Source organism: Homo sapiens, chromosome 11 (genome assembly GCF_000001405.40).
Source record: "Homo sapiens chromosome 11, GRCh38.p14 Primary Assembly".
Lineage (NCBI taxonomy): Eukaryota > Metazoa > Chordata > Mammalia > Primates > Hominidae > Homo > Homo sapiens.
Window position 1 is genome coordinate 130,226,279 of NC_000011.10, and position 24,962 is coordinate 130,251,240.

A 24,962-nucleotide genomic window follows, 5' to 3' on the forward strand; every position below is an offset into this window, starting at 1 on the left:
CCTTGGTTGTAAGATATCATTGAAATGGCACCAATTGGTCTCTAGTCAATAAAATGTGACTTTATAAAGAATCAGAGCAACTTTGAAAGATGCAACCCACCCATTAGTACCCAGCTTTACACAAGAACCTGATTCAATAGCTCTAGGATTGGATGATGTCCTCTAACTAGCTGCCTTTATACTCTCCTTCCAAGTTGGGGTATGGTGTTTGTGAGATCTTTGCACTTAAGCTCTACTTCACCAAAAATTGACATGTGCTGTCTAATATAACCCTCTCTACTCTGTGCACTCTAAGTAGATAATTATTTAAGTAATGAATTACTCTGATGCCTTTTCTCACTCACATGACCGCAGGCAACACTGCCGCCCAGCAAACAATAAATAACAACAGCAGGAAGTTTTATTCCATAAAGCATAAGATATTTTAATGAGAAAACGAAAACAAAATCAAACCTTAGTCTCATGTTTCTATCTAAAGACACTCAAAACTAGTTTTTCCCTGCCCATCCCTTTCCTAACTGCAACTTTATGTGTGACCATGTAATAAAGGCCAGTTTAAAGATTTTTTTTTTAAAAAAAGTTTAAACCTTTTTTAAAAAGATTAAACAATCAGGCTAGCAAAAAGGTACTCAATACATATTTTCCTTATATCAAACAAGCTAATTTCAGTACAATATAACTATACAGAATATATACAATACACATGTTCACAAAGCAAACACTATAGGCTCAGAACAGATTTGAAAAAACATGATATTCACATTGATTACAATAACCCTAAAAATGATTGTAACGTTGAAACGGCACTTAGTTTACAAAAAAGGTCACAAAAATATATATATATATGTAGTCACCAAGAACTATGGTTCCTGTAAAATACTAATAGCCAGATACTAGTATATAAAATGTGAAGTTCTGATATTGTATACATTTTTTGGAAATAAAACAAAATCCAAAACCATTTTTGTTATTGTCAAAAGTCAAACATGCCAAGTTAACTTAGCTATGGCCAGTGTCACCAAGTAAAGCCATACTTGAATGAGATGACGACTGGATACAAAGCTGGTGAACTGGGGACTGGCACAGTTAAGAGTTGTACTAATTCTAGGAAAGGGGTAGAAGACATAAAAACACCCATCTATGTAATTTAATTCACATTTTCTCCCCTGCATCACCTTCCCTTGAGAGTTTCACAAAATGCCAGTGCCCAGAAAGAATCACAATGCTATAACTGGCAGGGTAAAAAAGTCCCCCCGCCCCGACTTCCTTGCTGCCGGGCTATAGGCAAATATTAAAGCATGCATCAGCTACCCAAAGCCATCAGTCACCCATCTGGAAGACCATGGTGTACAGTTTCCGCCTAGGCTGGCTGCACTAGGAAGTACTCCAGTTTTTAAATGGAGCCAGCTTTATGTTAGCCCTGTAAAATATTGAGCTACTGTAGCAGCAAATATGACATTACAGAAAAACAAAATTTTATTTAAAAAATTGTTACATCAAAATTTTTTTCCTTCAAATCTGTGTCCTTTAACCAAACAACAGTTTCTTCTATCACTTAATTCTGGTCTTATTACCTCAGTCTGACTTTCTCATTATGCTTCTCTGGAAAGACACTTCTAAATCCTGGAGATTAAATTTACTCTTAAAAATGGAAATACAGGAATTTTAAAGTAAAAAGAAAAGGTCTGTTCTAAAAGTTCTTTCACAAATATATATATTTAAATATTAAAATAGGCTACCTAGGATTTTTATAAAATGGCTTTTGAAAAGATAGTAGAGGCACAAAGAAGCCATATACTATCCTCCAAGTTGGACATAAGGTGCCACAAGGCTGCCCTACAAAGAGGCAGGCAATCTCTACCTGATGCAACGGGAGGCACCAGTAAACAACAGAAACATTAAATACATTATTGGGAACTTGGACCAAAACCAAATTTTACTCTATTAGGGACCGTTGCTTTTTTAAAAAATACCTTGAGATATAAGCATTAGAAGTCATCACTTTGTACAAGGAAGAAAATGAATACAGTTTATGATCTTACTCCTTCCAAATACCTGATGTCACTCATTTCAGGTACCTGAAAGATGAAAAGCAGTGCAACTTTCAACAATTTAATGGACTACTCTCATTATGAGAGACTTTACACAGCATCTGTCAACTTGAAAATTAAATTGGTAACTGAAATAAAAAATCGCCTAGAGAAAACACACATAAGCTAATCCTAGAAAAGGCTCTCCTTAGAAAGCAGGTGTTTCTAAGAACTGCAGGAAAGGCTTCCCATCTTGAACACAGCTTCCACTAATACCAAGGGAAACGTGCATTAAGAGGAGAGATGACAGGGCTCCCTTAAAGCAGGAAGATTTATCCTTCCTCAGCAGGTGATGTACTTTGGTAACCTCAACATTCATTTATGGGATGATTTTTCATCTGTTTTATTGAATAATGAAATCTAAATGTGGCTAGATTGGCATTTGGGAAAACAAGGGCCTTTTAATAAAAGTCCTGACACTGGAGCTCCTCCCACCACTAGGCACCAATTTTATCAGTATATCGCCACAACCGTGCCTGGGACTTTAAGCTTCATCAGCAACATCAGTCAATTTAAACGAGAAAGGAACTAATAAAAGAATTTGACTTTATAAACCAGGTACTTTGAACAAAAACTAAAAATTTTAAAGTTAAAAAAAGTTTTGTTTTTAATCCGCAGTCCTTACTCTTAAGTTCTCTGTAAACTATTATGCACACAGAAACCTTGGTATTAGCTGAAGCCGGCCTGGGTCTTGCACAGTGGGGGTTTACTTAAGTAAAAGTAGCACAAACATTTCAAAGACAATCTCAATTTTTCAGATACTGCCAAACCGAGATACCAATAACATCTGAAATCTTTGCAGAGACTATTTATAAAAACATGGAAGTGTTTTTATTTTCCCATCATAAAAATATAATCACGATAGAGTGGAAATGTCTAACTGTATTAGTTTAGTAAAAAGTTAAAAAAAAGTATGACCACTGATGGTACTGGTACTACAAGTCTTCATCCCATAACTGACACAGGCTTAACCCCCCATAAATATTACAACATCTCAACTTATCTATCGTCTAAAATGAAACATCCAGAGAGCGACTGTTCTTAGTTGAGCCTGGGATTGAATCAATTCCACTTTATTGTTTAATCTGAACCATTATTGCTTTTGGCTAATTCATCTTGCTGAGGACTTTCCAAATAAAAATACTCTGTCACCATACTGTCAAGCAAAAACGACAATGAAAGATAAAAATGGGTATAGGCAAAATAAGGAACAACTTAATTTAAATGTTCATAGTTTGAGTTTAAAGCCTGTGGGAGTATGCTTAGTTTTAATATTCCTCATAGACATGTTTGCCACAACAGAGCTTCCTTGTTACCCCAATTTTGTTTCACTGCTTCAGAAAAGAAAATTTAGCTTTTATACATTCATCTCTCAATAACTTTCAAAATCTAAATATATTACAAATAAAGCATCTTACGTCAATAACTTACTTACAGTGAAAACTACATTTATTTATTACCTTCTGGCAACTTTGGGTCTGTTTCTTCTAACTGTAAACTTCACACTAGTTTTTTTTTCCCAGTTAGTATTAATATTTAGAAAATTTTTAATTCTCATTCACTTGGATGTGTATTTCAGAATTACAGCTTCATACTTTGCAGATGACTGAAACAAAGTAACATATGAAAGTTTCTAATTCTTTTGTTCATTCCACAAATCTCAAACTTCAGCTAAAATATTAAAATTTTAGGATTATTCATTCAAGTAATAAGTCTCTGTTACAGAATTGCCACATTATACAGTAATGTATTTTTCAAGGACTATTAAAGCTAAAAGGGACTAAAACATAATCTGAGAATCTTCAAGAATAAAAGCTGATAAAATAGATAACTGGCCTCTATTTAGATTAAGAGAAAAAATTAGAAATAAAAGACTGAAAGATTTAATACAGCTTCCAAAGGCTCCCAAGAGAACCATTTATAAACTGGGAGAGTCTCCTGAACCAGCCTATTAGTTAGAAGGTAACTGAGTTACCAATAATTATGGACATCAGATGTATTGACTAGTCTATTTCATTTGGCAAAGTATTTTAACAAGATGAAAGTTTTTTTTTTTTTTTTTTTTTGCTAGTTATTAAGAACAAAGGGCATGTGTCGTAACAGGGGATCTAATTACTGTAAGCCAGAATGATTGCTGAAATGTCAAAATGTAAGATTGAATGAGGCTATTTAAACATTTTAGTATATTTTGTCTTACTGAAATTGATAAAAAAAAAAAACTGGCAATGTAACTAAATGCGTAACTAATTACTTGAAATAAAAAGATTACTTGAAATTCAAATTAAGAAAAATCCATTTAAATATATTTGTGGGTGATAATCTCCATCTGCATCCATTTATATAAAACTTAAAATGCCAAAAAATAAAGACCAATATTAATCTCTTTATTTCTGAATGAGATGAAATCACTGACATGTTTGATGCTTCCACTATTAGAATATACCCTTTAAACACGAAAAGAACAACTGCAGGAGCTTTAACATCCATTATCATGGGTGAACATCTTTGTTTACTTCTAAAGTACATCACACCTATTTGGTAGTTAAAAAACTGAAAATAAAAGCTTGTACAAAATGCTTGGTTTTAAAAAGGCAATTTATTCTGCATTCTGAAATTTAAGCCCTTTAGATACCACAAAGTTACCCTCCTGGCCTTAAGAAAGATAGCTACGTTTAAGCACTCTAAACTGGAATATTTATGTTTAGTTACACTGGTAATTTCTAATGAATGGGATAATATAACTGGCTATCTCTTTGCAATATTTTCAATATGTCCTGGTAAAAATTATGCATCTAGGCATCCCTAAGATGAATTTGAAATAAACCTAAATACTACTATATATACAATTATCCCTTGCAAATCTGTTTCCTAAAACAGATCCATAAACAGATCCAATATCCTTAAAGTACATATATATCAAGAAAAATGTACCCTCACTGAAATAGAAAAAGGCCTTTATTTGTATCATTTTATGTTAAATACTGGTTAGTTACTGGTATTGATAAGATCTGGGCAGCAGACAACTAACCAGATATGCATTTTCACAGTATATTCAGATTTCCCATAAAACTTGGCAATGTGTATTACCAGTGAAAATCTAAAGTTTCTACTTGGGAAGGAATACCCAGTGATGGGTAATCCCTCATTCTGAGAACACAGTCAGAATATCTTGGAGCTACCAACATTGTGCTTGGCTCTTAATGCGAAGTTTTCAGGGTTGGGGATGTGCTAAAAACACTTTTAACCAATCAATCTGCAAACCATTCTTACACGTTTCTCTTCTTTATTCTTCTTTCCTTCTTTTCTTTTTTCTTTCCTCTTGCTCTTTCAAAAACCACCTCTTGGAACTAAGGGTAACAATGATTCCTGGTCATAATTTTACCTATTCTTGTCAATACAGATTTTAAAATTAATTTTGAGATTTATCTATTGCTAGGCCTAACAGTTTTCAAAGACCACAACGTAACATTAAAATTCCTGACCTTTCCAGTTGAGACACAGCAGTACTATATGAAGTATTATAGTCTGCTGCAGAAAGTAATGCAACCCTATCAGTGAAGAAGCATAAATGGTGGGAGCCTATCATAACCTGTATATGCTGATTCTCCTGAAGGGAACACACCTATGTTTGGCAGCAAATGGGTAAAAACAAGTTCATGAGTGAGGTAAAGAGTTGAAAACAAGTTAAGGACTGCAGAATATGGGCAGACACAGAGAATCTTAACCTAAAACAGTTCTAAGGAATTTAATTTACTTTTCCTTTCTTCACATGTTTTTGGGGAAAAAATTACAGAATTAGCCAATCTAAAAAAATGAAACAAATCACTATAATTAAAAATATATACATTTAGTATGGTCTAGCACCTGAACAAAATTCAGATCTTGTGTTTTGACTAAAGAACTGTATTTTCTGTCTATCAAATCAGGTGCTCTCATAATTATTAAACTTTGGGTATCTACACAGAAACTTATTCCAAAGTTCACTGCTCATGGACTTACAAATATTTAGGATCAATATTAGAGATGCTTTAATGGCACCAGATGAAAAGTATACCCAAGTCTAGAGGATCATACAAATTTCAACTACAGACCAGAAAGTTTCATATTTTTAGCAGCAGAAATAATATTCATTAGTTTAAGGTTTTCAGTTTCTCATTAGTCTTAATAATTTTTTTCTCCCAGATTTATGAGTCATAGATGAAAATCTTACAGTCTATACTCTTCATTGTTGCCTACGTTGTGTAAAAACTATAGTTAACTGTTTTTAATAACTTTGCAATGTCTAAAAATAAATATGTAAGGACAATGTATCGCTGTCATATGGGATTCAGTAAACAATCTAGTTGGGTTAAGAATGCAGCCTTGGCCGGTGCAGTGATCCCAGCAGTCTGGGAGGCCAAAGGAGGAGGATCACTTGGTCTAGGAGTTCAAGACCAGCCTGGGCACCATAGTGAGACCTCATCTCTACAAAAAATAAAAATGAAGTTAACCAGGTGTGGTGGAGCATGCCTATAATCCTAGATACTCAAGAGGCTGAGGCAGGAGAATGGCCTGAGCCCAGGAGTTCGAAGCTGCAGTGAGCTATGACTTAGCCACTATACTCCAGCCTGGGCAACAGAGTGAGATGCCATTCTTTTAAAAAAAAAGAAAAAAAAAAAGAATGTAGCCTCAATAGAGAATTATTTATTATGTCCAAAAGAGCACAATGAAAACATCCCCAACAACACATAAACCTATATATAAAATATAGAATATCTCCAGTATTTTTACTTTATATGGCAGCACGCCAATATATGCAAGAGAACATATTGATGGGGCAGGGGGAAAACTGATCCGGGCAATGACACAGTCAGGCATTACATTCGGAGACCAGGTAAACAGCAATTTTAATCTGAAAAGCAGTATGAGAAGAGTTCCTATGAAGCTGGGATTTACATACTTCATTCTCCGTTCCTGGTCATTTCATCCACAGCTTGACTGTTGTCAATCATGGTTCCTTGCCTTTGGAGTGGTACTATAAAGGTACAGAGAATGCCCATCTCAGTACCAAAATTTCACCATGAAAAATCATAACAGAAATGACAAAGCTTAAAGAAAAGTACGCCGGATTTCAGAAGTATTTACCATAATAATTTTTAAGAAAGCTTACCATAAATACTTCCAAAAACAACAGGCTTTACAAAATATTATACAACATCCTGTGTACAGCAGTAAGTATCTACTCAGGCCATTTGTCAAGCTGTTTAGTAATTAGTTTCTCATGTACCCTCTTGTCTCAAGAAGGTCAATAATCATCTGATTTCCTCTCTAGCTAATGATCTGTTGTTAGCCTACTTTTAACAATGGAAGAAGGAACTGGTATATGTTTTAAGTCAACCAGTTCTCCTTAAGTCTCATAGTTTCTGTTTCAACATCATGTTATTGTGTACTTACAGAAGCAATCTCTCAGTTAGGAAAAATAAAATCAGTTTCAGGGCTCAGAAAGTAAAAAGGGAAATTCTTTCCCAATCTCCCCCTCCCTCCCACCCGGCTTTTTTTGTTTAAAAAATTAAATTAAATTTAAATGTACAAGACCAAGCACAGGCACTTTCCAAAAAACAAAACTGAAGCCAAATCACAAAACTACTCAATAGTTATAGAAGACAGCTCTGATTTTGGGGGGTCATCTCTGGTTGCCTCAGCACAAGCACTGCTCTTTGGCTGCTCTGGCACTTCTTCCTCTTTTTCTGCCAGCCCACCAAGAGACCCCAAGGGAAAAGTGCTTTCACAATTCTGGGTTGAGGAGACCTGTGAAATGACAGGCATTTGAACAGAGGAGTTGCTTTCAAAACCGTGTTCTCCAAGATCATATTGAACAAGGGTCTCTTCTTGTTCCTGGTTTAAGTAGTCCGGTACTAGGAAATCACTAGATAAGAGGCAAAGGATGAAATATGGAATTAATTTTCAAACCAGTAATAGATAAGCAACAGTAAAAAGCTCTGATTTATACAACAAAATTGGGACTCTTCATTTCACTAATTGTTCAGTGAAGATTAAAACTCAGGAACTTTCAACTTATAAACTTTCCTAAATATGAACCAAAACATCCATTAAAACCAAAATGTATCAATCTTCCCCACCACCAATACATCAGGTTAATTATCACTTTCATTATAACTCTGGACACCTTAACAGCCTTTCTTGTTCTATGTAGAGGAGTTTCTATATACAAAACAAATGTAGCATGCTCACTTAAACAAAGATCATCTGAGTAACTTTAATGCTAAACTTTTCTTGATTATACATTGAGTAAGAGATATATAAACCTAGCTTTGTATTACTAAACTTGACATAGGTTAGTTAAGAAACTAAGTCCTTATGCATAAATGACCTGATACATAATCTACTATAAAGTTGGGAAATGTAGAAAGTAATTTATGTGTATCCTGCTATTACATTTGGTATATGAAAATACTAATAAAGAATTTGGAAATGAATGCCTTGAGATTGGTTATGTGATAATCCTCAAAACGTGTTCAATTATTGGTCCCCACAGGCAACATGGACAGTAAAATATACTAAAAACAGTGGCTACTTTCCTTAAGTGATGAAATAGAAAATATTTTAAATTTCTTCTTCATACTTTTCTGTATTTCCTAAATTTCCTACTTATAAGCATCTTTTGGTAATTGAAACTAAGTATGTGAAATAAGTCTTATCTTAGAGGCTTTATTTAAATCTTTATTACTGAACTAAGAACTTCATTATACCATAATTGTCAATAATATATGTACTTAGACTTGATAAGGTTATTTTATAATTTCATTGTTCAGTATTAATAAAAAATTAAAATCTGTTCATCTGCAAAGTAATTTAGAATGCCCTATGTTATATTTTCTAAAAAGTCTTCATTCAGGTGTTAGAGAAGAAGAATGGAGAATACAGGGCTCTGTACAGGGACGATAAAGATAACATGAGTAGTTAACAGGAACACTATTTTAGTCCTGAACAAACTATGTTTAATATGATATGTATAACCTAAGGTTTAGTGATATGGCAACCACACATTCAGAATTAGAGATGACTGCATTAAACAAAATGAATGTCTGGTTTGAAGGGAAAAACAAAATCTACGCAGGAATAATTTGGAATTTGTTTACAAATAAGGTTTTAAGTCAGGGGTGGTGCCCACACTTGTAGCCCCAGCAGGAGAACTGCTTGACCTCAGGAGTTCGAGGCTGCAGTGCACTATGATTGTGTCTATGAACAGCCACTGCACTTCAGCCTGGGCAACACTGCAAGACCCTATCTATTCAATTAAAAAAAAAAAAGGTTTTAAAAATAAGGGTGATTTAAAATGTAAAGATTTGGGCTGGGCATGGTGGCTCACGCCTGTAATCCCACAGCACTTTGGGAGGCTGAAGCAGGCGGATCACTTGAGGTCAGGGGTTCGAGATCAGACTGGCCAACATGGTGAAACCCCATCTCTACTAAAAATACAAATATTAGCTGGGTGTAGTGGTGGGCACCTGTAATCCCAGCTACTCAGGAGGCTGAGGTTGCAGTAAGCCGAAATCGTGCCACTGCATTCCAGCCTGGGTGACAGTGAGACTCCATCTCAAAAAAAAAAAAAAGAAAGATTTGTAAAAATTTCATTTTATGAGAAACTAAGGATTCCTACAGAAGTACAATTCTTATAAACAATTTAAAACAACAGTTTTATATCTAGAGAAGGCCTTAGAAACCATCGTTTAAAGCTTACATTTTATCTTTCTCTAAGTTTCAAGCTTTTTCATGTGTAAAGTGACAGGTTTAATCAACAGCAGTTAGTGGCAGAGCTAGATCTAGAAGCTGATTTCCTGGGATGCCCTATAAATCAGAAAGGTAATTCTATTATAAATTAATATTACAAGAATAGAGCTCTAAACTGAATGAAAATAGCAATGACTTCATGATCTAAACCATCACACCCACTATAGTTGCCTTTGAAATTTTTCTTACTGGCCAATGGCTATTCCTTTATATAGAATATTTTTAAATAGAGAGAAGTGGTAAAGAATTTTATTAACATCTAGAGTCTGGAGTAATCCAGTATCACTAAGCATCATCTGACATGGTAAAATTTCCAGTAAGATCTATTTAAGGTCCATTACAGAATTACTTAAACCTTGTATTATTTAAAAAATATCTCAAGAGGACAAGTAGTCTACTTCTGCAGGAAAATATTTTTAATACCAACTATAAAATGTTTATAATTTTATATACGTAGAAGACTCAGCAAAATTTTATCAGATCAGGAGATTAGAGTATGAACAGTGGGAATCCGTAACAAATGTGACTGACTAGCTGGCAACCTGATGTAAAAACACAGAAGGCTGCCCTAAAAGCAGGAAAAGAGAGTTTAGAAAGCAGTTTTCCTGGTTGGGTTTTCGTTGTGCACCTCACCTGCTCTGGAAGTAGTTTGCTAGCTCTGATGCTTCATGGTTCAGACTCCTCAGGTGCACGATTAAATTTCCAGAGTTGGTGAACATGGCGCCACATGTTTTGCACTCGTAAATCCGAGGCTTGCGGATAATGTGCCGGGAAACCCTCATGTGGTGTTTATATTCCCCGAAGGAAGTGAAAGTGGCACTACATATCTGGCACCGGAAACAGCGTTTACCTTCATGCTTTAGGCGATGCATCTTTAGCGAGTAAGCCCTGGTGAACTTTTTCCCACAGCGGTCACACTGAAATGGTTTAATTCCTGTAAATAAAGCAAAACAAAATATCTAAAAACAAAAATAAACTGAAAAGTCATAAACCCTACAAATTTCTGAACTATATTTCTGTAGCAACAGATCATCTGAAAAGGCAAGAATTACCAGCAAAAACATATTCTAATTGAGTATCTCAGAAAATGTGCAGAATATGTGAAAAGTCACAAGTGCTTAAAAAGGAAAAGAAAAAAAGGCAGTAGGGGAGGCAAACTAGGTAACGTCTACTGAAGCTGATTTTTGAATGCTTTTCTAGATCATCTATTTTACTAACTTCAAAACACAATTTAACTACAGTATGTAGACAGAACCCAAATCCCCACTAACAGCACATATTATTTCATTTCATTAGAGGTTTACATTGAACGGATATGAAAATCATCAGTACCTACTCTCTGTTCCCTATCTCACAGAGAAACGAGAAGAAAGAACAATTTTAACATCTCTGAATGTAATGAGCATGACAGAACCATCATTTGATATAATGGGTTTTTTTGGGTAATATGATGTAATATTGATAGAAATAAATGAGTTATAAAGTGTATTAATAGTCTCCTCAAATTCATTATCACAGTGTTTTGGGGAAAAAATTTTAAAACCTTTCAAAACACAGTCTACGGATTGAACAAAGTCACAGAGAATTGGTGCTAGGACAGGGACTGTAAGACCTATCTACAGAAGGGGAAAGTGAGATAGTAACTCACGCAGCTGAAAACAGCAGCAAAGATCTCTTACTCGTCAGAGGTCAGTGTTTTACCCACAAGAATCCTGTTGCCTTCATGTGATTACTGAACTAAAATTTCAAATCCCCTCTATACATTTATCCAAAATCTCTGTTATGTTTAAAAAAATACAAACTACAAAGCTGACTCATCAGGGCACACAGAGATTTAGGACTGTAGAATTGAAAGTAAATTAGCAAGAAAATATTACATTTTTAAACACACTTTTATTTGGGAAAAATTTCAAACTTAAAGAGACATTATAAGAAGAACAGCACAAAGAACACCCATACAGACCCTTTTAACCCTATTTGCTTTACCATCTGTGTTTGTGATTCTCTATCTCACCTCTATGTGCACACCTAATATGTCTTTTTATTTACAAAGTACTCACTCCATATCACCTTATGTTCTTTTAATCAGAATACTCAACACCCGTGGCAAGCAGCTTTCTGACACTGCATCATTTCAGCAATAAACCTTAGCTAATCTGTTTTCATTTGACTTCCCAGAGTTTTTTTTAAAACTCAGAAGCCCCTGTTTTCTATTTTAACTGGGACTGCAAAATAAAATGTTTTAGAGCGTTCACTTACGCACCAACAGGGAAGGTGACATTACCTGAGTGGATGAGCATGTGCTGCTTTAGGTTCTGAATACGGGTGAATCGCACCCCGCAGGTTGGACACTGAAAAGGTCTGTCGGGACCATTTGGACTTGGTCGCTCTGTACTGCTGGTGGAAGGAGCAATGTAGAGTTGGTAGGGATACTGAACATTTTCCAATCTAAAAAAAACAGACCAAAGAAGGCAACCAGGCTCTGATTTTTAAACTGAATAAACACTGCTATAGGTCAATTTTAAATGAAAAAAGATAAAACACTTAAAGACTTTTTGAAACAGTTTAACTGTTAGACTTCAAGTTTTACTTTAACAATATGAAAAACAATGTTAATGTCCAGAATGCCTTTTGTTTTTTTTTTTTATTTTTTGAGACGGAGTTAGGCAGAAGTCATATCGTGTAGGGCTTTAGAAGGCATAGCAAGGCCTATAGATTTTAGGTATGAATAAAGAATGTTAAGAATCTATAGCTTAAAACAGTGACATAATCTGACTTAATTAAAAAAGAAAAGATGATTTTGGCTGCTACATGGAAAATGGATTAGGGGAAGAATGCAATCAGAGGCTACTTTGAAGGTTATTGCAGTAGTCAAGGCAAAAGATGGTGGTGACTTAGAGTAGGGTGGCTACAGTACAGATTAGAAAAGTAGACAGGGATATATTTTATAGGCAGAGTTGACAGGACTTAAGGATTAACTACGAGGGAGATGAAGAGTGGTAAGGAAAAAAGATTAAGAACAATCCTCAGAGATTTTGCTTGAGAAATTAGGGGATAATGATGATGCTTACTGAAATGGGAGAAAGGCTGGAGAAGCAGGATTCAGACAAGGAGTTAGAAATCAAGAGTTCTGTCTTGGCCTTGTTAAATGTGAAATGCCCTTTATACATTTATGTGGAAATATCAAGCAGGGAGGGAGTTATGGGTATACAGATCAGACTTTGGCAGATGTTTTTCACAGCAGTCCGTACAGCACACATTCTGACTTTGCACACCATACAGTCTGTTTCAACCACTCAACTCTGCCATCCACAAACAATATGTCAGCAAATGAGCCTGGTTGTGTTCCAGTAATACTTGATTTACAAATAAAGGTGGTAGGCTGGAATTGGCCTGTGGTTCATAGTTTGCCAACACTTGGTACAGATACGATTTAAAGCAATGGGACTAGGTAGTTTTGGAAATGCTGGGGAAAAAAAAAAGCCTTGTATAGGTACTCTAATTTATAATGTGATGATGCTACTTCATTACTTTGAAAAGTATACTGAAGTGAGGTTGTAATAAACTTCTACAACTCTTGAGATGAAATGCTTGAATTTGGAGTTGTAAACACAACCCTTAAGAGGTAACGAAATGCTATGTTAGTACTGACCGATCATCATCATCCGGAGGAGCATTAGTGCTAGACGTGCTTTGAAGTGTAGGCAAGCCCTCAGAAACGCCTTCATCTACTGAGCCTGTGAATAAGAGAAAGAGGACCACTGTAATCCTTTGGTGTGAATAAGCCAAGATTGTAACTGAAAGCTATATTATATCTAAGCCTCTGACATATATTATCTAGTGTTCATATCCTGAATTATTAATCCAAAGTAGTGTTCTACATTTTTTTTTTTTTTTTTTGAGACTGAGTCTCGCTCTGTCGCCCAGGCTGGAGTGCGGTGGCGCGATCTCGGCTCACTGCAAGCTCTGCCTCCTGGGTTTACGCCATTCTCCTGCCTCAGCCTCCCGAGTAGCTGGGACTACGGGCGCCCGACACCACGCCCGGCTCATTTTTTGTATTTTAGTAGAGACAGGGTTTCACTGTGTTAGCCAGGATGGTCTCGATATCCTGACCTTGTGATCCACCTGCCTCGGCCTCCCAAAGTGCTGGGATTACAGGCGTGAGCCACCGCACCCAGCCGTGTTCTATATTTTTAAATGTTTGTGATTTTAAAGAAAAACCACATGTAAGATAATAGTCTTATATTACTATTTAAGTTCTTTTAGAAATATTTCTTTGACACATTTCAGAAAGCAAGCAGGGCAATTCAAAAGCGAACAAAAATCCACATAAAACTGAGTAATTAACCATTTAAGGAAACACTGAAATTCTTATTTTTTAAAACTTATTGAAGACATACAACTTGTTGCACAACTTTTATACAGAATTTAACAGATAAAGTGAACACCCAGGCAACCTCCACACACAAGCCACACGAAAGCACGGCCAGCATCCTGGAAGTCCCCATTCATCCTTCCCTGATCATAAACCCCTCCCTTCTCCAAAAGCTTCTTATGGTTATCATTTTCCTCCTCCCATTCTCTCACTTTTAAAAGTAATTTTATCTTGAATACAAGTATCCATAAGGTAGGTATTCGTTCTTGCTGGAACACAACTTTGGCTGGACTAGGGCTGCTTCTGCCTACAGTGGCAGAGTTTAGTAGCTTTTGGTTGTGACAGAGACCATGTGGCAGTTATGTCTAAAACAGTTATCATTTTGCCTTTAAAGGAAAGTTTGCCAAGGCTTGCCATAAACAATACTTTTTAGTGTTGTCTGGCTGTTTTATATAAACCGGGTCATACTATATGTATTCTTTTGTCTTGCTTCTTTCCTCCAACATTGTGGACTCATCGTTTTTACGTGTAACCAAAGTTTATTTTCATTGTTTATAATATTCATCATTATCCATTTTACTCTTGATGGACAGTTTTTTGGCTATTAAGAACAATGCTGCTGTGAATATCCTTAATGCACATAAGCATGCTTTTCTCCATGGTAAAGACTTAGGAATGGAGGTGGTACATATGTAGGAATGGAATTGCTAGGTCACTGAACACATTTATCTTCAACTTTATTAGAAAATACTAAACTCTTTCCAGAGTGACTGTACTAAATTCACATCACTGCTAGTATATCAGAGTTGTGCTGCTCCATATCCTTACCTCCTTACCAACATTTGGTATTGCTGGATTTTTAAGTTATTACCACTGGTTTTTAAAATTATTACCAACCTGGTGTATGTCTTACAATATTTCATGGTGGTTTGAATTGCATTTCCCTTATAACTACTGGGGTGAATCTAGTGTCACATATTTACGGAATCTCCCTTCCTCCCTCTTTTGTGAAATGCCAGAGTTGTCTGCCTTTTTAGCATAAGAGTTCTTTTCACAATTTGTATATAAGCCCTTGGTCAGTGATACATACTACAAATATCTTTCCCCATCCCATGGCTTTTTTTTTCACCCTTTCTAATGGCTTCTTCTGATGAACAAAGTTTAACATTTTAATTTAATTAATCCTTTTCTCATTGTTATGGCTTTTTGGTCTTGTTTTTAAAAAATCTTTCCCTGTCTGAAATTATCTTATGAAAAGTATCATGTTTTGTGCCTTATGTTTTTTCTTTAACCCATTGGAGTTGACTTTGTGACCGAATGTCATGAAAGGTCTGCCTTCTCTGCTCTGCAGTGCCTCCTGTGTTGTATGTCATGTATAAATACATAGGTCTGTTTTCGGGTTTTCTATTAGTTCCATCTGCTTATCTGTCCTTGTATTAATGCCAATCTTTAGTTACTGTAGCTTTATAATAAATCTTGCTATCAAGTAGAGAAAGTTCTCTGCCCTTGTTCATTTGCTTTCTGAACATTCTGGCTATTTTTTGACTTCTGCATTCCTGTATACATTTGAGAATCAGCTTGCTGAATACAAGTGGAAATAAATATTCCATTTCTCCCCTTCTATTTGTTTAGAAGTTACACAATATTTTCCTATTTCTTTGTATTGGTTGCCTTAGAAATTAGAGATATACTTTGTTTACCAAAGTCTAAAGTTAAAACCTTTACTTCCTTCTGGATAATACAAAGATCCTAGAAGCTTTAACTCCATTTCCCACCACTTCCATCCTGCCATTTACAAATTGTCTGATATTTTACTTCTTTGTTCTGATTAAGCCCCACAAACATTATCATATATACATGTTCTCACATTTACCTCTGCCTTTGCTGTTCATTCTTGCAAATGAAACCACTCATCTATGCTCACTTCACTTCTGCCAAAAGTCCATTCTTTATAACTTTTTTGGCAATGATTTGCTGATGATCAATTCTTTTTGTTTGAAAACATATTTATTTTCAAATATAAATATTTCATTTATATATTTTTCAAATATAATTCATTCTTGAAAGACATTTTTACCCTGTGTAGAAATCTAGACTGGGAGCTATTTTCTTTCAGCACACTGAGGATATCATCCCACTGGTTTCTGGTGGTGGTAAAAAGTCATATTCTTTTGAAGGTAATGTCTTTTTACATTTTTTTCCCTGAATTTTCTCTACAATGTATCTAGGTCTGTGTTTCTTTTTACTATTCCTGTTTGGGACTGGTGTCTTTCATCAAATCTGGAAAATTCTCAGCCAACCTCTCCTCTCTCTTTAGAGCTTCCATCAAACCTACATTTGTTGTCTTCCGCACCCTTCTCCTCTTTGCTACTGCAGTTTCCACCACTGTGTCTCTCTCTGTGTAGCACTGAAGTAATTTCTTCTAGTTTATCTTTTAATTTCCTAATTCTCTTCTGTTGAGTGCAATGTGCTGCCAAAATGTTCACGGAGATTTTAATTTTGGTTATCATTTTTCTTTTCTAAAAGTCCCATTTGGTACTCCTTAAATCTGCTATGTCACTTTTTATAGTTTACTGTTCTCTGCAATTATTGTTCATGTTTATTTTGTTAAATACAGTAAGCATATTTACTTTATATCTGTGCTTGAAAACTACGCCAAGTGGCAATGCCAATATATTTCTGCTGCATTTAAAAAACACATTTTTTTTTTCCTGTTGGTTCTCTCTCTGCCTTGTTTTCTTGAGTGCTCTGGTAATTTTTCGACTGGTTATTGCCCTTGAAAATTATTTGTAGGAAATTGAGTTGCTGAGGTCAGGATACATAATGCCCTTTTCCAGAGAAGTTTTATGTTTGCTTCTGCTAGGTTCCTGGGCAGCATTAGCTATATGAGATTCACTGTTTGAGATTCCTTGGCCTACCCACTCAAAGTCTGTGTTGTAACAATTTGTAAGTGGTCTAGCAGTAACTTCTCAGGGATGTGTTTTCCTCTCTTTTTCCTTTTCTAGTCCGCTCATTGCCAAGGCAGGTTTTTCTACAGTCCCCTGGAGTTTGGAGGACAGGGAGCAGGTTTAGTTCTGACAGTACAATCCCAAAGGACAATGCACATGAGCATGCTTTTCTCCACAGTATATACTTAGGAATGGAAGTGGTATATGTGTAGGAATGGAGCCGCTAGGTCACTGAATACATTTATCTTCAACCTTATTAGAAAATACTAAATTCTTTTCTAAAATGATTGTACTAAATTTACATCACTGCTAGCAGTATATCAGAGTTGTGTTGCTCCATATCCTTACCAACACTTGGTATTGCAGGATTTTTAAATTATTACCAATCAGGAACGTGTTACAATACACACATTAAGCAGGGAGCAGGTTTAGTTCTAATGTAAACCTGCTCCCTGCTTAACGTGTGGGGCAACTTTTCTAAGACTTTACAACTTTTACACACTCTGAGCTTTCAGTTTCATTTCTCCTGCTCTTTGAGTTGATCAACCAAAGCCCATTTGTGTTTTGGCAAATGTCTTAAAGGCAAAACTGATTTTAGTGCTCTGATGATCTACTTACCTCCCTGGGCCAGGCTTTCTCCCCTAATTTAACCTTGCAGTTCCTTGGCCATCTTTTCAGCTTTTCAAACAGTTTAAAAGTGAATTTTTAAAAACTTAAAATTTGTTGTTTGTGGTGGGACAGTAGACTCAAACAACCTAGCTTATTCTCATTAGGTAATGAACTCTTTACTGAACACAAACCAGCTGTGTTGCACCAAATGAACAAATCTGAGCCTCTGAGAATTTCGGTCTTTTAATAGCAAACAAGCTTTTGGTTATAATATTTTAATGAAAATGAAAATGTGGCCGGGTGCAGTGGCTCATGCCTGTAATCCCAGCACTTTGGGAGGCCGACGTGGGTGGATCACAAGGTCAGGAGATCCAGACCATCCTGGCTAACACGGTGAAACCCCATCTCTACTAAAAGTACAAAAAATTAGCCGGGCGTGGTGGCGGGTGCCTGTAGTCCCAGCTACTCGGGAGGCTGAGGCAGGAGAATGGCGTGAACATGGGAGGCAGAGCTTGCAGTGAGCCAAGATTGCGCCACTGCACTCCAGCCTGGGCGACAGAGAGAGACTCTGTCTGGAAAAAAAAAAAAAAAAAAAGAAAGAAAATGTACTAACTGTAACAGTTTGTACACCACTACATACATGTGAACATTTAATAAGTATCATCTGCTAATGAACATACGGGATGAAATTTCCTTCTGATGAAGATTTGGAATCTAATACTTAAGTTTCCCTCTTTGGAACACTTGAATTGCTGTCATTAGGAAACAGGTACATCATCCACTTAAGTAAAAAGCGTTTTAAAAAACTAAATTTTAAGGCATCCAAACTTTATTTAATCACTTGTACTGGAAAACTTGTGACAGGGTTACATTTTGCCTTGACTTCTTAAATGAAGGACACCATATAGAACTTATTTTTTGTTTCTTGATGACTCACCACAATCATAAAGAACACTCATTACTATACAGTGTTCTAATACTTGGGTATACTCTGAGGCTTTTGAAAATACGCAGGACTATGTGTGTTTACATTCATTCCCAATTGCACCCCCATTCTTTCTGGTCTCCCCATTCCATCCCTTCTGGTGTATGTGTAGCATTTCTGTGTGTGTCTTTTCTTTTTCTTTCTCTATCAAACGGCATTCCTGCTTTTCCCCTATGTCTACTTATGCAAGTTACTCCCAGGTTCTTCTGACTTGTTTTTAATCCAGATGTAGGACAGAGAACCAGATAATGCTGCATTTTAAGAAAGAACTGTTTACTTGTCAGTATCTTCCCATTCTCAGTTTTTTCCTTAAAGAAAAGAAAAATAAACATTAACTTTTCAATCAGTCCTGGGCTAAGAAACTGGAAAAACACCAGTATTTAGCGTTGGTCCCATGGACATCAAGACCTATTTGACGGTGCTCTGAACTTATTCAGAGCACAGACAGTATTAAAGCGTACAGACAAAGGCTTGCCCCAAAACGCCTGGAGTTGTGATAAGGGTAGGCCAAGAAGACTGGCATCTGCTTCTCACTATCAGCTTGTGATAAGGGTAGGCCAAGAAGACTGGCATCGGCTTCTCACTATCAGGTTGTGAGAAGGGTAGGCCAAGAAGACTGGCATCGGCTTCTCACTATCAGGTTGTGAGAAGGGTAGGCCAAGAAGACTGGCATCTGCTTCTCACTATCAGGCAGGCCATACTCTTTCGAGGAGGGAATGGACTCTTGGTGAGGTGAGAATAAAAACCACACTGTCTGGGACCGATTCTAGTACCGTCAAAGGTTTGTTTAAAAAGCTGGTTGAAAAGAACTAAAATGCAGTACAAGATACATCTAGCAGATGGCCCTTCTTAAAACAAATCCATCTCTACATTCTAAAATGTCTAGATCCCCTGATTCAATGGATAGTGAGCATGCAAAGCAAAGCAAAACTATTTTCCCTCACCCATGGCTACTGAATGCACCAACAGCTAAAAATGAAAGCCACTCCAAGCTAAAATGAGTTAAAACAGACTTTTGGAATTCTATGTATACTGTGGAGGTAAACACATAGTGTTATATCACTTATGCAACTATCAGCAAAAAATAAATTTTGTGCAACTGTTTTTCTTGAAATGATGGTTTTTGCAAATAACACAAGTAATCATATGAATTGGAATTTCAGTTAAACTGATTTAACAGCAGAATATATACACATATATATACACACACACATATATATATACACACACATATATATGCACAATATTACTTTCCTGAGGTGACAGTGATGTTTCTTAAATTATTAAAATGAAGTTTCCTTTCTACCCTATAGGGATTCTGTTCTCAGTGGTAGTGAGGCTAAGAATTCTGGTCAGACACTTTTCACCTTGTGAAACAGTAAAACTGATTCACAGAGACAATCAGCTTTATATGGGTCAGGGCTAGCTTATCAAGACAGAGTCGACTCTCTCCCCAATTAGAAGTGCTGTATGATAGCTTCTGTTGCATCAAACTCAAGTTGCTGCTGCCACTGTTCAGGTATTCAAGATACTTACAAAGATCCCTCTGGAATTGAAAAGCAATTACAGTGGTCATCTCCTACTGAGTATTTACCATGTGCCAGGCATTGTTCTAAAAGGTTTTCAATATAAGATCTCAATTTATACTTGAAAAAGAGAAACATCTTCCAACATTCAGAAACAGGCTTGGCACTCATTTAGGGGTGGGGCCTGGTCCTTACAGCCACAGTATTCTCCTGGGGAACATAAACAGTCTCACAAAACAACATAAAATCAAGTCACTCTGTGACCCTTATTTAAAGCGAGACTAAAAAACACTTTTATTTGTGCAATCACAAACATACCAGTCATCCCCATCTCTCGCTGGCTAATGAGTCACTACTGCTATAGATTCACTTTAGTCTGCATTCCTAGATAGTATTTATTAAGATATTCAATAACAGAATTCTCTCTCCTTTCTGACATCACCAGTCCTGAGCAAACCTCACTTCCTTGAACCCTCCCTAATGGAGAGTAAGCATCCCTGAAATCACCCAACACAAGGCCAAATCCTGCGCTAAGGCCTTTTTAACACCTTCTTACTGACAACCAGCCCTAAAAACCCCATGGTGTATAATCTCCCTTGTTGCAAATGAGCAACAAACTCAACCTGTTCAATCATAGGTGGTCTTTGGCTATAGGGCCCAGGCAGAAATAAAGATCCACTGAGATTCAGCTAAATTCCTTGTTGCTTCGTCCTGGGATCCTGGATGAGAGGGCAGATATAAAATCCCTTTTGAGGTGCCACCTGCCCTTGGCTGGGATGTAAGTTCATGCTGAATTAAGCTCAAATAGTTCAATGAAGCCCTTCACTGTCAGGTTTGTTTTGTTTTCCTAGAAACAGTCTTTTGAAAATATTTTGGTTATTCAGATTGTGTTGCTCCTTGGTGAAACTGTTTTCTAGGCTAACACCTGCTCTGAAGATCATCTGCCTGCCTGCCTGCTGTGTTAACGGCCTACAAGAGAAATAAACGATAATGAGAGGATGAACATAGGTTGGATTAGTTCATCTGAACTGGCCCTGGAGGCCAAGTTCAGATCTCTGACTGGCAAAACCATTTCAAAACTTTACAAGGTATAACACAGATGAACTGTGAAAACATTATGGTAAAAACATAAGCCAGTGAGAAAAAAAAACCCACGTATTTCATGATCCCACTGATATAAAATATCCAGAATAGGCAACTATTAATATTTACAGTGGTTTGCCTAGGAGTGGGGATGGGGTTAGAAGGACTAGAGAGTTATCTTTTTAAGTAACAAGGCCCAACCTAAAACCAGCAGTCTTTTTTCTCCTTTAAATTTGTTGTATTTATTGCTTTTATTTGCTGCAAGTTGATACTGAATTTTACAACCTTTCCATGGGCAAGTGGAAACAAAAGGAACTTAAAACAGCAGGTAAAATCCTATCTGAACTAATTTCATGGATAATCAAATTATTATTTTGGAAATTTGAAAATAATACACTAAACATTATATTTTCTATCCCTAGAAAGACAAGATACCTCTCAGAGATGTTCTTTAACAAATTAGTAAGTAAAATTAAATACTCTTATGGAACTTACAGGGGAAAAAGTACCATGCACATCTTCCTTTTCTCCCTCTCAAATTTACTGACTGCCTTCAATACCGCAAGGAATTTTCTGTATGGCTTTGTTTTAGTATGCAAGTTTGGAGTTAAGATTGGTTTGTTGAGAGTGATTAGTACATTTGCCATGAAGGCAAGGAAAAAACATCATATTGGAGTTGGGCATGGTGGCTCACGCCTGTAATCTCAGCACTTTGGGAGGCTGAGGCAGGCGATCACTTGAGGTCAGGAGTTCGAGACCAGCCTGGCCAACATGGTGAAATCCTGTCTCTACTAAAAATACAAAAATTAGCCAGGTGTGGTGGCAGGCACCTGTAATCCCAGCTACTTGGGAGGCTGAGGCAGGACAATTACTTGAACTCAGGAGGCAGAGGTTGCAGTGAGCTGACATCACACCACAGCACTCCAGCCTGAGCAACAGGGCAAGATACTGGCTCAAAAAACCACAAAAACAAAACAAAAAAACACAAGAAACAAACCACATTGGGATTATCTGATTCAGAGCAGTTCCCATGTCTGCTTTATAGAATCCATTTATAATAATATATAGGTAACAGATTCTACTTATATAACTGAAAGATTTGTTCTACTTATTAACTTGTTAATAACATCATAAAGGGCTGGGTGCAGTAGCTCAGGCCTGTAATCCCAGCACTTTGGGAGGCTGAGGTGGGTGGATCACTTGAAGTCAGGAGTTTGAGACCAACCTGGCCCACATGGTGAAACTCCATCTCTACTAAAAATACAAATATTAGCTGGGTGTGGTGGTGTGTGCCTGCAGTCCCAGCTACTTGGGAGGCTGAGGCAGGAGAATTGCTTGAACCCAGGAGGCAGAGGTTGTAGTAAGCTGAGATCATGCTACTGCATTCCAGCCTGGGTGACAGAGTGAGACTCAGTCTCAAACAAAAACAAAACTATCATAAAGGCAAAACCTGAACTGATTATATATACTTGGGAGTGGTAAAGGATGACTATTTCACATGCCTAACTCAATATCTTAGATATTTAGACAGATTAATATTTGGGTTCCTACTTTCTTAAATGATTAAAATTATAATTATTCAGTAGGCAGTTCGTTACTCAGAAGGTACCAAGGTGTTTTCAATTACTGACTCTGGTAGTTTAGTAAAAACTTGGTTGTATCAACAAATAGCTATGATTTCTTGAAATTAAATATTTTGTTGGATGTGTGTTCATGTAAATTCTTCACAACTATTTTGACCCCAATTCAGGAATATGAACTTCAGTGGCTGCTGTGGGTGACATTATTTCCCCCAGAAAGACACTACGTCTTGGCTGCTGGCAAGATGGCCGAATAGGAACAGCTCCAGTCTGCAGCTCCCAGTGAGACCAACACAGAAGGCAGGTGTCTGCATTTCTAATGAGGTACCCTGTTCATCTCACTGGGACTAGTTAGGCAGTGGGTACAGCCCACAGAGGGTGAGCAGAAGCAGGGTGGGGCGTTACCTCACCCAGGAAGTGCAAGGAGCCAAGGAAAGCAGTGAGGGACTGTGCTATCTGGCCCAGATACTACGCTTTTCCCACAGTTTTTGCAATCCGCAGACCAGGAGATTCCCTCGTGTGCTACATCACTAGGGCCCCGGGTTTCAAGCACAAAACTGGGCGGCTGTTTGGGCAGACACCAAGCTAGCTCTTCTTTTTTCACACACCAGTGGTGCCTGGAACCACAGTGAGACAGAACCATTCACAGAACCTTTGCAGCCCCCTGCAAAGGGGGCTGAAGCCAGGGAGCCAAGTGGTCTCACTCAGCAGGTCCCACTCCCACAGAGCCCAGCAAGCTAAGAACCACTGGCTTGAAATTCTCACTGCCAGCACAGCAGTCTGAAGTTGACCTGGGACGATCAAGCTTGGTCGGGGGAGGGACATCCGCCATTACTGAGGCTTGAGTAGTTGGTTTTCCCCTGACAGCGCTAAAAAGGCCTGGAAGTTCCAACTGGGCAGAACTCAACACAGTGTGGCACAGTGGCTATGGCCAGACTGCCTCTTTAGATTCCTCTTCATTGGGCAGGGCATCTCTGAAAGAAAGACAGCAGCCCCAGTCAGGGCTTATAGATAAAAATCCCATCTCACTGGGACAGAGCACCTGGGAGAAGGGGCGGCTGTGGGCGCAGCTTCAGTGGACTTAAACGTCCCTGCCTGCAGGTTCTGAAGAGAGCAGCGGATACTCACAAGGAGGGTTCTACCAGCACAGTGCTTGACTTCTGCTAAGGGACAGACTGCCTCCTCAAGTGGGTCCCTGACCCCCATGCCTCCTGACTGGGAGAGACTTCCCAACAGGGGTGACAGACACCTCATACAGGAGAGCTCCGGCTGGCATCAGGCCGGTGCCCCTCTGGGATGAAGCATCCAGAGGAAGCAGCAGGCAGCAATCTTTGCTGTTCTGCAGCCTCCGCTGGTGATACCCAGGCTAATAGGGTCTGGAGTGGACCTCCAACAAACTGCAGCAGACCTTCAAAAGAGGGGCCTGTTAGAAGAAAAACTAACAAACAAAAAGCAATAACATCAACATCAACATCAACAAAAAGAACCTCCACACAGACGCCCCATCCAAACCCATCCAAAGGTCACCAGCCTCAAAGATCAAAGATAGATAAATCCACGAAGATGAGGAAAAACCAGCACAAAAATGCTGAAAATTCCAAAAACCAGAATGCCTCTTCTCCAAATGACTGCAACTCCTCTCCAGCGAGGGCACAACACTGGACAGAGAATGAATTTGACAAATCGACAGAAGTAGGCTTCAGAAGGTCGGTAATAACAAACTCCTCTCCACTAACGGAGCATGTTCTATCTCACCCAATGCAAGGAAGCTAAGAACCTTGACAAAAGGTTACAGCAACTGCTAACTAGAATAACCCGTTTACGGAAGAACATAAATGACCTGACAGAGCTAAAAAACACAGCACGAGAACTTCACAAAGCATACACAAGTATCAATAGCTGAATGGATCAAGCGGAAGAAAGATAACAGAGAATGAAGATCAACTTACTGAAATGAGGCATGAAGACAGGATTA

At 37.5% G+C, this 24,962-nt stretch overlaps 1 protein-coding gene across 24 annotated transcripts in view; it reads right to left on the reverse strand.

The window, feature by feature from the left end:
- Positions 1 to 398: 398 nt before the first annotated feature.
- The window catches only part of ZBTB44 (zinc finger and BTB domain containing 44), an 88,241-nt gene continuing 63,677 nt past the window's right edge, over positions 399 to 24,962 (reverse strand). For 4 of the 24 annotated variants that reach the window (NM_001370222.1, NM_001370219.1, XM_047426841.1 and 1 more), the window contains 4 exons: positions 13,534 to 13,618; positions 12,166 to 12,329; positions 10,515 to 10,815; positions 399 to 7,995 (listed from right to left, as the gene is read on the reverse strand). In NM_001370222.1, the coding sequence (NP_001357151.1) occupies positions 7,713 to 7,995; positions 10,515 to 10,815; positions 12,166 to 12,181 (600 nt within the window). In that variant the 5' untranslated portion in view covers positions 12,182 to 12,329; positions 13,534 to 13,618 and the 3' untranslated portion in view covers positions 399 to 7,712. Of the gene's footprint in view, positions 7,996 to 9,831; positions 9,939 to 10,514; positions 10,816 to 12,165; positions 12,330 to 13,533; positions 13,619 to 24,962 lie in introns of all 24 variants that reach the window. The other 20 variants (NM_001301098.2, XM_047426844.1, XM_047426848.1 and 17 more) reach the window with 16 other exon arrangements.